Source organism: Homo sapiens, chromosome 10 (assembly GCF_000001405.40).
Source record: "Homo sapiens chromosome 10, GRCh38.p14 Primary Assembly".
NCBI lineage: Eukaryota > Metazoa > Chordata > Mammalia > Primates > Hominidae > Homo > Homo sapiens.
Window position 1 is genome coordinate 120,801,348 of NC_000010.11, and position 16,214 is coordinate 120,817,561.

Genomic DNA, 16,214 nt, shown 5'->3' on the forward strand with positions numbered 1-16,214 from the left:
TCTAAAATGTTTAAAATCAAACTGTAAAACAACCACTTTGGGGACATGTTTTCAGGACCTCCTGGGGCTGTGTCACAAGCCTTGGTCACTCATATTTGGCTCAGAATAAACCTCCTTAAATAGTTTATAGCATTTGACTCCTACGTTGACAGGGGTAACTGGTTAAACAGTCTATGTGAAACAAGTGCTTTGGTGTCCAAAGCCTATAGAGCCACCAGTCAGGAACAAAACCTGGACTAGAAGTGGGAGAAATCCAGGATAAACTGGAGCCTCGGAGGACCCACTAGGATTCAGGGGCACAAGCTGGAACGTGCATAGGCCTTTCACTGCCTCTGAGCGTCCAACTTCAATGTCTCAAGTGAGCTGCTGGTGCTCTTGTTGTACAGCTGCATAGGTGGCTCAACCAGGGTTGAGAAAAGCTGGAGGCAGAAGCCCAGAAATGAGGGGAGCTGTAGACCTGGCTCTTGCCCCCACATATATGATGAACCACCAAAGAACCAGCAATGTGCAGGAGCTCAGCCACGCCTTCCCATACATCCACTGGCTGCCACTTTATTCTACTGTGAACCCCAAATATCTGAAAGAGGTCTCAGTTAATTTTGAAAGTTTATTTTGCCAAGGTTGAGGACACATGCCCATGACACAGCCTCAGGAGGTCCTGACAACATGTGCCCAAGGTGGTCAGAGCACAGTTTGGTTTTATACATTTTAGGGAGACATGAGACATCAATCAACATATGTAAGATGAACATTGGTTCTGTCTGGAAAGGTGGGACAAGTCCAAGTGGAGAGGGGGTTTCTAGGCCATAGGTCAATAAGAAAGAAATGGTTGCAATCTTTTGAGTTTCTGATTAGCCTCTCCAAAGGAGGCAATCAGATACATATTTATCTCAGTGAGCAGAGGGGTGACTTTGAATAGAATGGGAGGCAGGATTGCCCTAAGCAGTTCTCAGCTTGATTTTTCCCTTCAACTTAGTGATTTGGGGGCCCCAAGATATTTTCCTTTCACACTGTCTTGCACATCTCACATAAATTTCTCTTGGGGACAACCCTGACTCAGAACCAAACAGAGAAGGGAATTCTGAGAAAGGTAGTTTTTGCTTTAGCATGTTGACACAATACCTATCCACACTGATTGAGAAAACAAAGAAAATACAAATTACCAAAATCAGGATTGAAAGAGGTGATATCACTATAGATTTTATAAACATTTATGAAAAACAAGCCCTGGCTCATTCATTGCTCACCTTCAGAATTTCCTGGTTGTGTGTGCTCCTGGGAGAAAGAAAGTTTACATTAAAAAAGAAAAAGACATCCAATTACCTATCCTTCTTGTTTCCTTGCTGAGTTAAATATGCCTATGTATTAAAGCAAAAATTTAAACAATCGATCAATTAGAGTATTAGGATGTACTTTGCTAAAGGATTCTTCAGGCAGCAGAACATGGACAAGTTTCATGGTAGGTTATTTCACTGACAAGCTCAAGGGCAAGAACGGTGAAATTTAAAATCATTAGCCTCTGCGCATTAAAGATTGGTGAGAAATGAGGACAACATTTCAGAAATGAAAATTATATGCCCACAATACTTTCAAGCAGAATTAAACACAATCTTAAGACCCACTTATTGCCGGAAGTGAACATTCTTTGCACATGCTCCAGCTCCCTTGTTTCCTTACAATACAGATTCTTTGCCTTTTGTAGTCAGGATTAAAGGACATAACATCCCTCACTATGCAGAGCGTTGTGCAAATAGTGATCATGAGAAAGGAGCCTGTGAGTTAGGTTTCTGCTTTATTTGCCCATACAAAGAGAACAGAGCCTTCTAGAGTAGCTTTCCCATTGTCTCATTATTTGTCATACAACTCAGCACACACTGGAAGACAATCACAAGGTGGGCACACAGAGGTTTGATCGAGGTCCTGTTACTCAAAGCTCCCCTTTGCCTCTATCTCTATTGCCAATGAGGAAATGTATCTGATCAATTAACTCACACTAGCATACAGAGGTGCCTTTTCAGATCAGAGTATTTCTAAAAAGATATCTGGAGCCGAGCATGGTGGTTCATGCCTGTAATCCCAGCACTTTGTGAGGCCAAGGTGGGTGGATCATGAGGTCAGGAGTTCAAGACCAGCCTGGCCAACATGGTGAAACGCGGTCTCTACTAAAAATACAAAAATTAGCCAGGCACAGTGGCAGGCATCTGTAATCCCAGCTACTTGGGAGGCTGAGGCAGGAGAATCGTTTGAACCTGGGAGGTAGAGGTTGCAGTGAGCCAAGATCGTGCCACTGCACTCTAGCCTGGGCGACAGAGCAAGACTCTGTCTCAAAAAATAAAAATACAAAAAGATACCTGGAGAAATCAACTACAATATGGATTTATAATGGTGGGATATCAAGCACTGGTGAGGCTGAGTTAGAAGAGATTTGGCTACTATGGGAGGAATTTTTAGACTCTGCTTGAATCCTTTCTCCCTCTCTCTGCTTCCTTCATTGTTTCGTGGAAATCTAGAAAGTGCCAACTACCTCATAAGCAGGTGGGTTAATGCCTGCCTTGACTGGATGTTTGATCTCATTAGCCGACAGTTTCCTTTTTCATCATTTCCAACAGCGCCATTGTTTATGACCCCAGATAGACCTGGGATGCTAGTTACCAGCCTGATCATGTCCACTGTCACATTTCATGTCTTCTGTCAGAATTTATGATGTAGCATCCTTTGGAGGTCACTAAAAACATCTTCAGAGGAAAGAGCTTCTGTGAATCCACTGAGTCATAAAACCGTCTCCTAGAGAGGAGTATTTCTCATGGATCAGAAGCTGTCTGGAAGAGCAGCTTGCAGGAAGGAAGAGTTAAATGAGACAGTCGGTTGCGCAAACACTTGAGTGAGAAAGCAGTGAGAGCGATTCGATGAGCTTTTTCTTCCCCTAAAATTAATTACAATTTTAAAGGCTGGCAGCTTGATTTTATATTGCAACTTTCTTCAATTAAATCTACATTTTTTCTATCTTACTTCATGTCATCTCACTAATTGGTTGCAGCATCTACTTGTGCTACCACCAAACTGTCTTTGCTTAAAAGAAGCTGTTTTACTAAAAGAAAATTAAAAATGTAAATGTATCCTATCTTATATTGCCTCTTCCTTTTCTGCCAGAAGAGAGGGGGAAATAACTGATCAGTGAAATCCTAAGAGGCACAAACTGGAGTTACATTTTTGCAATGTGCGGGACAGCGCCATGAAGCTACAATGTGTCTGGTACCCTGGGTTCATTCTCATCCAGTCAATGCATATTGAGCACCCACTGTATGCCAGGCCCTGGTCTAGATGCTTTGGGGTCTAAGCAGGATCATTCAAGTGTCCATAAGAGCTTCCTCCAGCTTCCCAGGCATGGCAGAATCATTAGCACACTCAAAACTCTGTTTCTGGTGGCCTTTCCCCAAACCGTTAAAATCATGGCAATGTCAAGTGAACAATTATTTCCTTATTTTCCTTCAATAAATGCTGGTAGCTATTGTATTACCACCTCCTCCACTAACATCCATTTTGAAAATAATGGCAATTCAGTAAAAAGCTTAGAAAGCAAAACAAAGTAAAATTATTCTGTTTCATTAAACAACATTAAAAGACTGGGTTCAAAATAGGGTCTGTGTTATACTCAGCTGACTCTGACGACCAAGTCAGCAGGGAAGTCCCTCCAATTTCTTACCATCTGTGGGTGCTAGAAGGGCTTGCAAACCTGCTGTGTGTAAAAGGTGGCAGTCAAAGAAGCCTCTTAAAACAAGAAAGGGATTTGAAATGGCTGTGTCCAACTGGTTGTCAATCTGGATTCCAGGGGCCCTAGAGGTTCAAGGTGATGCCTCCAGACCACTAGGAGGAGCTGTTGAGGGTGGTCAAGGGGCCAACAGACTGCAACCTCCAGTTCCCCACCCCAACTTCAACCCAAAGGGTATCCCTTTCACCTGTCTTACCTACCAGTGTCCCTTGGGACAATCCATGAAAGAAAAGAGCTCTACAGAAGAAAAGGGCTCTACAGCCTTAAAAATAAGGAAACCCACTGGCCTATGACCTGCTGTAGCATGCTAGAGGGCAATGCTGATGACGTATTCTCTTTGGGACTCAAATAGTTTGAAACAGCGAACGTTTTGATGAATGACGAAGTAAAAGCTGGGTTGGCCAACACTGTACTGTTACAGATGATGCTTGCTCCTCTCCTGCAGTTCTGCACACTCCTCCACCCAACATCAAGTGCCTGGGGAAGCCAAGCCAGCGTAGCACAGCCCCCAGATACTTCAACATTCAAACTTCAGACATTCAAGTCCACATTTCCATGCAATCCTGCATAATGTAAGCAAATTTAGCTTGCTTAAAAATAGATACTCCCAAGGTTGGGTAATGCACGGCCTTTTTTGCTGTAAACCAAGATGCAGCAGATGGAGACCTTAACCATTATTCTTTTTGCTCCTTCTTTTTCTCAGTTCATGACACAGTAAAGGATGATTTCAGAGAAAAGTTAATAAGAATATGCATCTAATGAGGATTGCAAAATGTTCACTTTGCAGTGATGGATAAAGCCATTTTGGAGTCAATCCTAAAAAGCCAAGACTCCTGGGTGTCAGTCAGGATGGAGCGATGCACAGAACCTAGAGGGGAAGCAGTCCAACCCCCCAGCAGATGCATGAGTTTATGCAGAAATTTGAAACAAGGCTGCCATTTATTAGGTATTTATCATGAGCCAGGACCTCTGTAAATAGCATCTCTAATTCTCAAAACAACCTTTTAAGTTAAGTATTTTCATTTTACAGATAGGAAACTGAGGTTCAGAGAAGTAGTATTATGTCCAAGCCGCCAAGCTAGTAAGTGACAGAATCAGGTTGCAAATCAGATCTGCCTGATTGTTCTCTTCCTGCTTCCCACACTACCCCACTGTTTGCACATCTCCAGTGACAGGGAACTCACTGCCTCCCAAGCCACATGTGTGCTGAATAGCGCTAAGGAATAAAAAGCACTTTGTGTTGAAATGAAACCCACTGCCTGTTACTGCTACACCTAGAACCTGCATCTGCCCTTTGGAGCCACACAAAGTCCATCAAAGAGGGCTTCCACAAGACAGCCTTCCAAGGAATTTGAAGAAAGATTGTGGAGCTCAATTTCTCTTCTCTAGGTTAAGCCTCCTGGGGCTGGGGTGTAGGGCTCAGGATGTGGGTCCTGGAACCAGACTGCTGGGGTTCAAGTCTCTGCTCAGTGACCTACTGGGTGAACGAGATGAATTTCAAATTTTCTTTTACTCAGTTTCATCTTATACTCTGTCTCATCCATAAAATGGTGTGAAAGCAATAACATCTACTTTTTTGTGTTTATGAGAATTCAATAATTTATAGAAAGCACTTGCCATACAGCTTGCAAACAGCAGGAGCTTAATAAGTGACAATGATAATCAGTACTCATGGCTTCCAGCTGTGTAACAATCCTGCTGTTTCTCCTCTTGACCTTTTCTTATTGATGTAGGGGCCTCTTGAATGTGATGAGGAAACAGAACGGAAAACTCCAGGACAGGCCTGAGCAGCTTGTAAGAGAAGAGCATCATCGCCTTTATTCTAAATGTGATGCTTGTTTTAACGTAGGCTAAGGGGAGTTATTAGTTTGGGCTATAGCCACATTATACTGGTAACTCGTATTAAACTTGGAGTTAACAGAAACCCCCTGATATTTTTATTCCACCCTCCATGCCATCCTAACTCAAGGGCCCTCTGAAGTCTAAAGCTGAAAGGTGGCTTACTCGAATTGAGTGGTGGGTAAATGGGGGTTGGTTATGCATAATCTGTTTTTCAGACATTTGAAATTCTCCATATTTTTTAAATGAGGGATTTAAAGATTTCCAGGACTTAGTCTGGGCCAACTTAGTGATGATTGAATGAAATTTATTGAATGGACAGATGGAAAGATCGATCTGGTAAGTCCATGGATGTGAAAACTGAGGATCTGAGATTTTAAGTAATCTTCCTGGGTCTCATAACCAGCCAGAATTAGGCATCAGTCTTCAAGCCTGGGGAAAGAAACTGGCATTTATTGCTTTTTGTACCAGACCCCTCGCCAGGGGCTTTACCTGCCTTTTCTCATTTAATCTTTACAACCAACTTATGCCGACAAAACCAAGGTCCAGACGTCACCCAGCAATGAATGGCAGGGCTCAGCTCCAAACCCAAGCCACCAGACCACACACTGCCTCTCTCCAGCTCTGTGTCGACGGGTAGTTCTATATGCAAAGCTATCTATATTGTTTTAAGGATAACAAGTAACATTAAGCAACTATCTGCTGGCTCCTCTTCTATGTGCCTTATTTCTTTCAACTCACTAATCCTGATAGCAACACCATAAGATGTGAGGCAGGGAAAATGTAAATGTCTTGCTCAAGTTCATCGTTAATAAGTAGAAGGACTGAGATGTGAACTGGATGGTCTAGTCTACGGACTGTATATTTAACAACCACAGCCTATTGATTCTTGTCTATCAACCTGGAATCCAGAAATACATGCCTCATGTAGGCACCCTCCAGAATTCTTTGTCCTCCCTTTCTCGTGTATGTCTCTTTCCCTAGACCCTTACCTCCTTTCCTCCTACCCCATCATAAATGGTTGCTTCATTTGAAATGATCTAACACAAAAATTGGTGAAATGATTATCAAATTTGCAGAGTACTCAGGTTGATGTGTGTCAAACACATTTATTATGCAACCAAAGATGCCGATTCTGGCTTGTTTTCTCAATTCTCAGCTCTAAAAGCTTGACAAGGAACATTACTAGAAAAACACATGCTCTGTAGTTAAGATGGATGAAACTGCAGTTTGTGTTGATTTTGGTAAGACAGCTAGTTAAGAACATGTTTAATTACCTGATCCCAGGGGTTGTGTTTGAATTAACCAGATGTTGGTTCCTCTCTGTACTGGAAGATGTTCTCAACGGATTCTTATTGATGATAGGAGGATCAATGGGTAAGTGTGCTTCAAAGTAATTAATAATGCATGTTTAGGTTAGAGAATTCAATAGCTTAAGAGAATAAAATATTTTAATTCCTATATCATCAACAGCAGTTATTTGCAACAAAGGACGACTTTGTCCCCCAGGGGATATTTGGCAACACCTAGAGACTTTTTGGTTGTCACAACTGGGGTGAGAGGTGCTACTGGCATCTACTGAGTAGAGGCCACAGCTTCTCCTAAACATTTACAGTGCTCAGGACAGCTCCCCACAGAAAGAATTATCTGGCTCAAAATGTTAATAGAGTGGAGGCTGAGGAACACTTATCTATAACAATACCAAAATAATACAAATAGTAATGAGAGAAAAGGTATTGATTTCACGATACAGAAAATGATTCATAATAATAGATTGACATTGGTCCCCACCATCACATCAACTCTATTAAAATGAATGATAATGGTTATAATTTAGTTAAAGGTCACACTGAAGCAGAGTTATCAGTATCCAATGAAAACATTTCTAGCCCTCTTTTTCTGTAGAAATTGTTCCACAACAGCCAGTTTTTCTGGGATTCACAAATTCAGGGATAACATGTAACACATGGGCTTAGCATTAACATAACTACAGAAGGAGAATTGGCTTATAAACCTGAAGACAGGCTCAGCACGGTGGCTCACACCTGTGATCCTAGCACTTTGGGAGGACAAGGCAAGCAGATCACCTGAGATCAGGAGTTCAAGACCAGCCTGGCTAATATGGTGAAACCTTGTCTCTTCTAAAAATACAAAAATTACCCAGCGTGGTGGCGCATACCTGTAATCCCAGCTACCCAGGAGGCTGAGGCAGGAGAATTGCTGGAACCCAGGAGACGGAGGCTGGCTGCAGTGAGCTGAGATCGCACTACTGCACTCCAGCCTGGGTGACAGAATGAGACTCCGTCTCAAAAAAAAAAAAACAAAAACAAAAAAAAACCTGAATGCAAACGAAGGTTCAAGTGAAGGTGTCACCTGCTTGGGTAAGTCATATAAGTCCCATGCCTGGGTTTCCCTAATCTTATAATGAAAGTAATAGAAAACTTCCTGAGGCATTAAGATGATTATATTAAATAAAGCATATCAGCCCCTTAATAAGAAGAAAACACTATCCTACAGAAGGTTTTATTAGAAGAATCGTTATTACAAGTAAAAACAGACACCTCAAACAGCCATAGAAATTGCCTGATAATTCTAAATTCTAATAACAAACCCTAAAATAGTTATGCCCTAGTCAATTCAATCAAAGACTTAGTCATTCTTTTCTAATAAAACATGATTGTTTGAATTAAATGCTCTTAATAATATCCCAGAATTAGATAATGGCAGTGCACCTGGAGATTTCTCTATTATCAACAGAATAGCATCTCTTTGAGAAGCAGAAATGGTTGAGTGAGTTCTGAAATGAGACTAGAAAAAACAAAAATAGATATGGGGAAAAAGAACAATGTATAAAACAATCTTTCAATTAAGACTAAACAGAAAAAAGAGGCATATAGGCCAAAATCTGGGGCAGAGAACACTCTTCCCTTATGGTTTTATGACATTAGACAAGTTTTTCAGTTTCAAGAGGACAGGCACATGATTTTAGTAAAAGGAAGGCTGTATTGAATAACTAAAGGCGTGAAAATAGAAGGACAAACAATTTTTAAAATAAAAAAGGCAAACATAATGCCCTAAAGCATATCCTTGGTTAAATAATTTATTTTTCCGAGTTGCATGGAACAAGAGCAGGTTAAACTGTACCCTTCTGTAAAATTAAGTAGAACTCTCTATATAAGGGTATCAGGAGCAGAGGGCCCCCTTTTAATCTGTGAAGTGATGCACTTTAAAAATTCCATGCAGTGCTGGCCCAAGGCTAAATTTTCATATCAAACACAATGAAATTCAGGAGGAACTTATACCAAATTAATTTTCTCAAAGCATACATTGATTTGCTCACTTCCTACACTCCGTGCAAACTCAAAAGCCAGCTGAGGCTCTGTAAAGAGTGTAAGTTCAGACCCTCCTCCTGCCAGTTTCCCTCCCATTCCCTCTGTTGGCTGTCACACCTGCTATTATGCACAACTCCCTCCCTGAATTAGGGCCCTGGATCCCCTGCTTTCCTCTTTCCAAGGCTGCTTTTGCTGCTGCTTTTCCCCAGGAGGAATACTCACATTTGGATCCTAGCCAGCTCAGCCGCCACCCCTCCAGGAAGCCTCCCTGACTTCCCCAGCTGGAAGGCTGCCAGCAGCCCATCCTGCAGCCCTTCCCAACAGCTCACCTATCACACTTTTTGTATTCTAGATTATTTTGTTCCTGGACCCAACACCATGCTAAGCAGGAGAGGAAGAAGGAAAGAAGGGAGGGAAGCCCTGGCTTCAGCATCCTTTGAGCACTTGCTGCTTGCTTGCCCAGCATTTCCCCAACATCCTTGCTCTTCCAACTCTTGCATAATCCTGGGGAGTCAGCACACTCCACTTACAGAGGAGAAAACTGAGGCTCAGGGAGGTCCCCTGCTCTTTCCCCCACTCTATGTGGCCACAGCTTCTCCAATCTGCCTGGGGCACCCCACCAGTGATGTGTTGCTTACTGTAGGCTGCCTGGACACTTTTGGTGCGAATGCTAGAAAAATGAATTCCACTGACAGACCTCAGCATTACTTAGTGGGAGCCAAGGAGGCCAGTTGCTTTAAGCACTCCTGGAGCATTGCCTCAGGCCACTGGATAATTCTGGGCAAGCTGATAGCCACTGCCCCAGCCCCAAACGCCCTGGGTCCCCTATCGGAAATAGATTCCCTCACACCAAGCCGATGCCTGGGCTGCCCACACACTGCTATGCAGAGTAACAGGGTGACAGGCCGTAGCATTCATGGCTGCCACTGTATAAATATTCCTAGCATGGAAAAGCAGTCTTAGACTCATGGTGGCTTTTTAGGATTATATTTACATCAAACGCAGCCACTAACTTCGGGAACATCTTGACAACCCACCTCTCTCCTTCCTCTCTGGGGTAGCTCTTGTAACCCTCCCCTTTGCTCTCTCTGTGCCAGCCCCATTGGCCTCTTTGTGTCCCACAAATGCACTGAGCATACTTGAGCCTAGGGCTTTGCAGTGACTGTTCCCTCTGCTAGAACACTCTTCCTTTGCACATCCATATGACCAGATTCCCTTTATCTCTTCCAAGAGTTGGCTCATGTGTCGCCTTCCTGACTGGGGCACCGTTCTGAAAATTGTAATCACTTCTCACCCAAGCACACCCTCCATACTCCCAAGCCCCATACCTGTTATGTTTCTTGTCTCTGTAGCATTCACCACTGTACTAATATTCTATTTATATTCTAACTTTATTTTTTTCTTATTTCTTGTCTCCACCCACTCTTTCCCCAAAGAGCAGGCACTTTTGTCAAATTTATCTCACTTTTCTATCTTAAGTCCACAGCAGAGTGTCTGGGGCATAGCAGCACTCATGTTCAATAAGTACTTGTTGAGTGAATAAACCTTAGAACATTTCCCTGGTATTATGGTTCGAATGTATGTCACCCTAAAATTCATATGTTGGAATCTAAGACCCAATGTGTGAGTATTAAGAAGTGGGGCCTTTAGAAGGCAATGAAGCCATCCCTCATGAATGAGACCAGTACCTTATAAAAGGGCCCCAGGGAACCATCTAGGTCCTTTTTGCCTTTCTGCCTCCAGACATGTAAGGATGCGGCAAAGGCCCTCGCCAGATGCTGAATGCGGATGCCGTCATCTTGGACTTCCTAGCTTCCAGAACGGTGAGAAATACATTTCTATTGTTTATAAATTACTCAGTCCATGGAATGCTGTTGTAGCAGCACAAATGAACTAAGAGACCTGGCAGATTACAGACCTCATTTTAATTTTAAAAACAGAAATTAGGATGAGCTAATATATTAATTTCCTCTGACTGCTCTAACAAATTACCATAACTTTGATAGCTTAAAACAACCCGAATTTATTATCTTACAGTTCTGGAGATCAGAGTTTGATATGGGTCAAACGAGGCTAAAATCAGGGTCTCATCTGGCTTCATTTTGTCCTGGAGGCTCTGGAGGAGACTCTGTTTCCTTGCCTTTTCCAGCTCCGAGAGGCTGCCTGTATTCCTGTAATTCCTCGTAATTATGTTGAGCCTACTCAGATAATCTAGGAAAATCTCCTCATCTCAAGATCCTTAATTCAATGACATCTGCAAAGTCTCTTTTGCCATGAAAAGAAATATATATTGATAGGTTTTGGGGATTAGGGCACGGATAACTTTGGGGGAGGCAGATTATTCTACAGGTAAAAACTTTTTGCCATTTACATAATCTTTAAAAAAAGATTTGATTAATTATGCAAATGTTTACAACATACAGAGGAAGTACAAAAAATGATGTCTTTCACCAAAAGCAAACAGCTAACATTTGTCATATATGTTTGGCTCACAACTTTTGGAAATAAAACGTTGCAAATACAGCTAAATCCCCAACTCATTTCTCATTTCCTTCCTTCTTACCTTTCCTCAACAGTATCCACTATTAAGGCTAATGGGAATTATTGTGATGAATGTATTTTTACCATTTCTACTGCTAGGACTCAGAAAACAATACCCTGAAATGCAGACCTCAGAAGCAGCTTCAGAGGCAAAAGTTTTTCTCCGACCTTCTCCTGCTCTCCTGTCTCTCAGTTCCATTCTCCCCTGAGGCTAGGCAGAGAAATTAGAATCTCTCTTCCCCAAGGCAGGTCATAGAAACCAGAACCCCTCTTCCCAAAGCCAGCCATAAAACTTAAAAATGTTACTTTAACTTTTCCTCCACCTGTCTGTGTAAAAACGGACCATGAAGAAATTATCTGACCTACGTTATTTGACTGTAGGTCTTAAGAGCCCCATTCGAGAGAGGGTTCTGCCCCACGCCCAGAAGGAAGGAGTGCATGCTCTGAGAGGCTGAGAAGAATCTAGACAGACGGGCCTTGCTGGATTTCCTCACTCAGTCAGCTATTAGCATTAGATCATACCTTTTCTGTCCAATCATATTTCTACATGGTTGTTGAACTTAAGCATAAAAATGGACAATTTCCCCTGTAGCTTTGAGTCTCTGTTCTGAAGGCTCCCGTGTATACACTAAATAATACACTAAATAAATATGTATGTCCATTCTCTTATTAATCTCCCTCTTGTCAGTGATTTTCAGTAAACCTTTAGAAGGTAAAGGAGAATTTTCCCTTGGCCCTGATACTACAACAATAGTATATACACTATTGTGTGTTTTTTAAATTTAGATAAATGGTGAAATACTGTTCATTTCTTTTGCTGTTTGCTTTTATGTTTTGGAAATGTACCTACGTTGGTACCATACTGATCTACTTCCAGCCTCCACTTTATTCAGAGACCTCAGATTATTTATCTATTTTTCTACTGATGGGTAGTTTCCACTTACATGCTATGAAATAACAGAGCTGCACTGACACCCGTGGATATGTCCCTTTTGTGCAAATGTGGATTTCTCTAAAGGAGAATGTACTGAGAGATGCTACATCACTCTCTGAAGTGGCCACTTGGACCAATTAGCATCTCCAGTGATGGTACAGCGTGCCCATTCCTCTACGTCCTCACCAACACTAGGTATGAGCATGCTTATTAATGGTCCTAAGCTGACGTAAGTGATGTGTGTGTATGTCACTGCTGTTTCATTTTGAAATGTGCTTATTTGTGTGAGAGGTTGAGAATATTTTCATGTTGACGGATCATGAAATATTCCCCCTCAAGGAATTTCCTATTTATATTATTTTCCCCATCTTTCTATTGAGTTTGTCTTTTAAATAGGGATTCTTTTTACATTCTGGTTACTGATATTTTGTTAATTACATGGATTGTAAAATCTGTTCTTATCTTTTCATGTTTTTTCCTGCTTCTTGGCAAGTGAGTTTATACTGTTAATTAGAAAACTTTATCACACTTTTTATTTGTGACTTGTACTTTTCCTATCATGAAAAAAGGTTTTCTTCAAATCGGTTCCTATTCTGTTCTCATAAAGATATTTGCCCATGTTTTCTTCTAACAGTTCTATAGTTTTGTTTTTGACATTCATATTTTTACATTATAGAATTATTTTTAATATGATGGCAGATAATGATCAAATGTTATCTTCTTCTGAAAATGTGCTAGAATTACTTGTTTGGTCTATTACCTTCTGCTAATTTTAAAGCTGCCTCTGTCATATACCAAGCTTGCATCTATATGTGGCTCAGTGTCCAGGCTGCCTGACATCCCAGGACAATGCTGCACTGATTTACTCTCTACAGCTCCATGGTAAGTGATATGGTTAGGCTATGTGTCACCACCCAAATCTCATCTTGAATTATAATCCCCATAATCCCCATGTGTCAAGGGAGAGACAAGATGGAGGTAATTGGCTCATGGGGGCAGTTTCTCCCAAGCTGTTGTCATGATATTCAATGAGTTCTCATGAAATCTGATGGTTTTTGTAAGTGTTTGGTAGTTCCTCCTGCATTCATTCTCCTTCCTGCTGTCTTGTGAAGAAGGTGCCTTGCTTCCCCTTCACCCTCTGCCATGATTGTAAGTTTCCTGAGGCTTCCTCAGACATGCTGAACTGTGAGTTAATTAAACCATTTTCCTTTATAAATTACCCAGTCTCTGGCAGTCTTTATACCAGTGTGAAAATGAACTAACACAGTAAGCTTTGCTATCTAATAAGAAAAATTTTGTTCCCCATCCCAGCTTTCTCCCTTACCACACATATGGCCACTTCCTTTAAATTTGTCTGGGAATTTTTTCACTCTTTACTCTTACATATGGCTTTAGGATCAGCTTGTCCAATTCTGAAAAAAGTCTTGTTAGGACTTTTATTAGACTAACAATGAAAGTGCAGAAGTGATATGTCTTCTTTATAATATTAAATCTTCCTGCCAATGAACTGGTTTTTATATATCTTTCTAAATATTTCAGTAAAGTTTTTTTTTTTAAATTTTGTTGTATCTGCAAATGTCTGTTACAAATATCAAGTTTAGTGTTTTTTAAAATTACATTTTATAATTAATAGTTCCTAGGAAATAAGAACAGTATTCATTTTTATATTGATCTATGCAGTCACCATTAGAACTGTCCTATTTCTCAGTAGCTTTTCTGTAGCTCCACTGGAAATTTTTGTGTCAACAAAATTTTGTCTATAATAACAGCAAAATAAAATAACAGCAATTTTGTTTCTGTCTTTTTAAGTCTTATACATTTTATTTATTTTTCTTATTTTACTGCACTGATTTAAAATCTTTTTTTTTCAATGTTGAATAGAAGCAGTGATGAAAGCAAGGAAAATTTTATTCCTAACTTCAGAGGGAATATATGCAATGTTGCACTCTTCAGGTATGATATTTCTGTACATTTTAGCAGAGACTCTTCATCAGGTAATGCTGTTCTTTTCTATTTTTAGATTGCTGTTCTTTTAATGAATGGATGTTGAATTTTGGGGAAAAAAACAACTTTTTTTTTTTCCTTTTACATTTGAGATGCAGAGCAGTAGCGTCCTTAGAGAATAAACTCTGGAGTCAATGCCTGGACCTTAATGAACAGTGGATGACATGTTATTTTCTTTTTTCTTCTTTTAACTTTTATTTTAAGCTCAGGGGTACAAGTGCAGGTTTTTTACATAGGTAAAGTTGTGTCATGGGGGTTTGTTGTACAGATTATTTTGTCACCCAGGTATTAAGCCTGGTACTCATTGTTTTTCCTCATCCTCTCCCTCCTCCCATCCTCTACCCTCCAACAAGCCCCAGTGTGTGTTGTTCCCCTCTATGTGTACATGAGTTCTCATCATTTGGTTCCCACTTGTAAGTGAGAACATGCAGTGTTTGGTTTTCTGTTCCTATATTAGTTTGCTAAGGATAATGGCCTCCAGCTCCACCTATGTTCCTGCAAAGGACATGATCTCATTTTTTATGGCTTCATAGTATTCCATGATGTATATGTACCACATTTCCTTTATCCATTCTGTCATTGATGGGCATTTAGGTTGATTTCATGACTTTGTTGTTATGAATAGTGCTGCAATGAACATACACATGCATGTGTCTTTATGATAGAACAATTTACATTCTTTGGGGTATATACCCAGCAATGGGATTGCTGGGTCAAATGTTATTGCTGACATTAGGTCTTTGAGGAAGTGCCACACGGTTTTCCACTATGGTTAAACTAATTTACACTCACACCAACAGTGTATATGTGTTCCTGACAGATTCTTTTCAAGGGCATGCAGTTCTCACACTTGTTGGTGTCAGCACTTCTTACAGTCTTAAGATTGAAGATTACAAAGAGCTTTTGTTCTTGTGGATTATGTATCTATCAATGTTTATCATGTTACAAATTAAAGCTGATATTGTAAAATATTGATTCATTTTAATACAACAATAATAAACTCAATCCATGTTAAGTAACATATTTTTGTATGAAAAGTATCATATTCTCCAGAACAAAATGAAATGGAGTCTGTCTGTTGAGTGACATATTAAACTCATCCCACCTATCTTCAAGCCTAATACTACTTCTTACCTTCCAGCCTTCAAGCGATTGTAATCGTATGTTATACTTCCACCTATGTTATAAACCACACAATATATTATTATTTTTGCTTTAAGCAGTAATTTTTAAAAATAATTTGTAAAAATAACAAAAAGCTATTTAAATATAGCTACATATATGCAAGCCCAAATCTGACTTCAAGCTTTGATGTGGGGGGAACTTTTTAGCTTATTTATTCACTTATGCATTAGTCATGATTGCTGCATCTGCAGAAACTCACGTGAAAATAATGTGCTAAATTGTCAAATGTTTGGGGTGGCTTCTACTGTTGGACCATACACAACCTTCACATTTCAGATATTCTTACTTTAGGGACTATTGAGCAAGCAGAGAAGAAAGCCTTACTATGCACTGTTTTTATTAATTCTCTTCCAATTGCTTTCTTTTCCTGCCCTTCCAGTTGTAGTTAAACAGCGGGGAGAACAGAGTTGTCCTGCTGGGGCAGTGGTTCACAGCTCCATGGGGCCCCTAGGTGTGTGCGACTTACTATCATTGTCCAGCATTCTCTCTCTGCCTCAGGTCCTGCACCCTAAGCCTGGCCAAAGCTGGAAGCAGGTGAAAGGAGAGTTGAGGTGGTCAAAAGAAGCATAGAGATGCCCTACTTCCACCTCCCTGGCATCTTCAGTCCGTA

At 40.6% G+C, this 16,214-nt stretch overlaps 2 long non-coding RNA genes across 3 annotated transcripts in view; one reads left to right on the plus strand and one right to left on the minus strand.

The window, feature by feature from the left end:
- Positions 1 to 16,214, plus strand: part of LINC02930 (long intergenic non-protein coding RNA 2930) — a 216,730-nt gene that overhangs the window by 192,766 nt on the left and 7,750 nt on the right. The window contains exon 3 of one of the 2 annotated variants that reach the window (XR_002957103.2): positions 10,684 to 10,763. This is a non-coding gene — a long non-coding RNA (long intergenic non-protein coding RNA 2930). Of the gene's footprint in view, positions 1 to 10,683; positions 16,056 to 16,214 lie in introns of both variants that reach the window. The other variant, XR_007062314.1, reaches the window with a different exon arrangement.
- The window catches only part of WDR11-DT (WDR11 divergent transcript), an 89,368-nt gene that overhangs the window by 39,536 nt on the left and 33,618 nt on the right, over positions 1 to 16,214 (minus strand). The gene's annotated exons all lie outside the window — the stretch shown is intronic.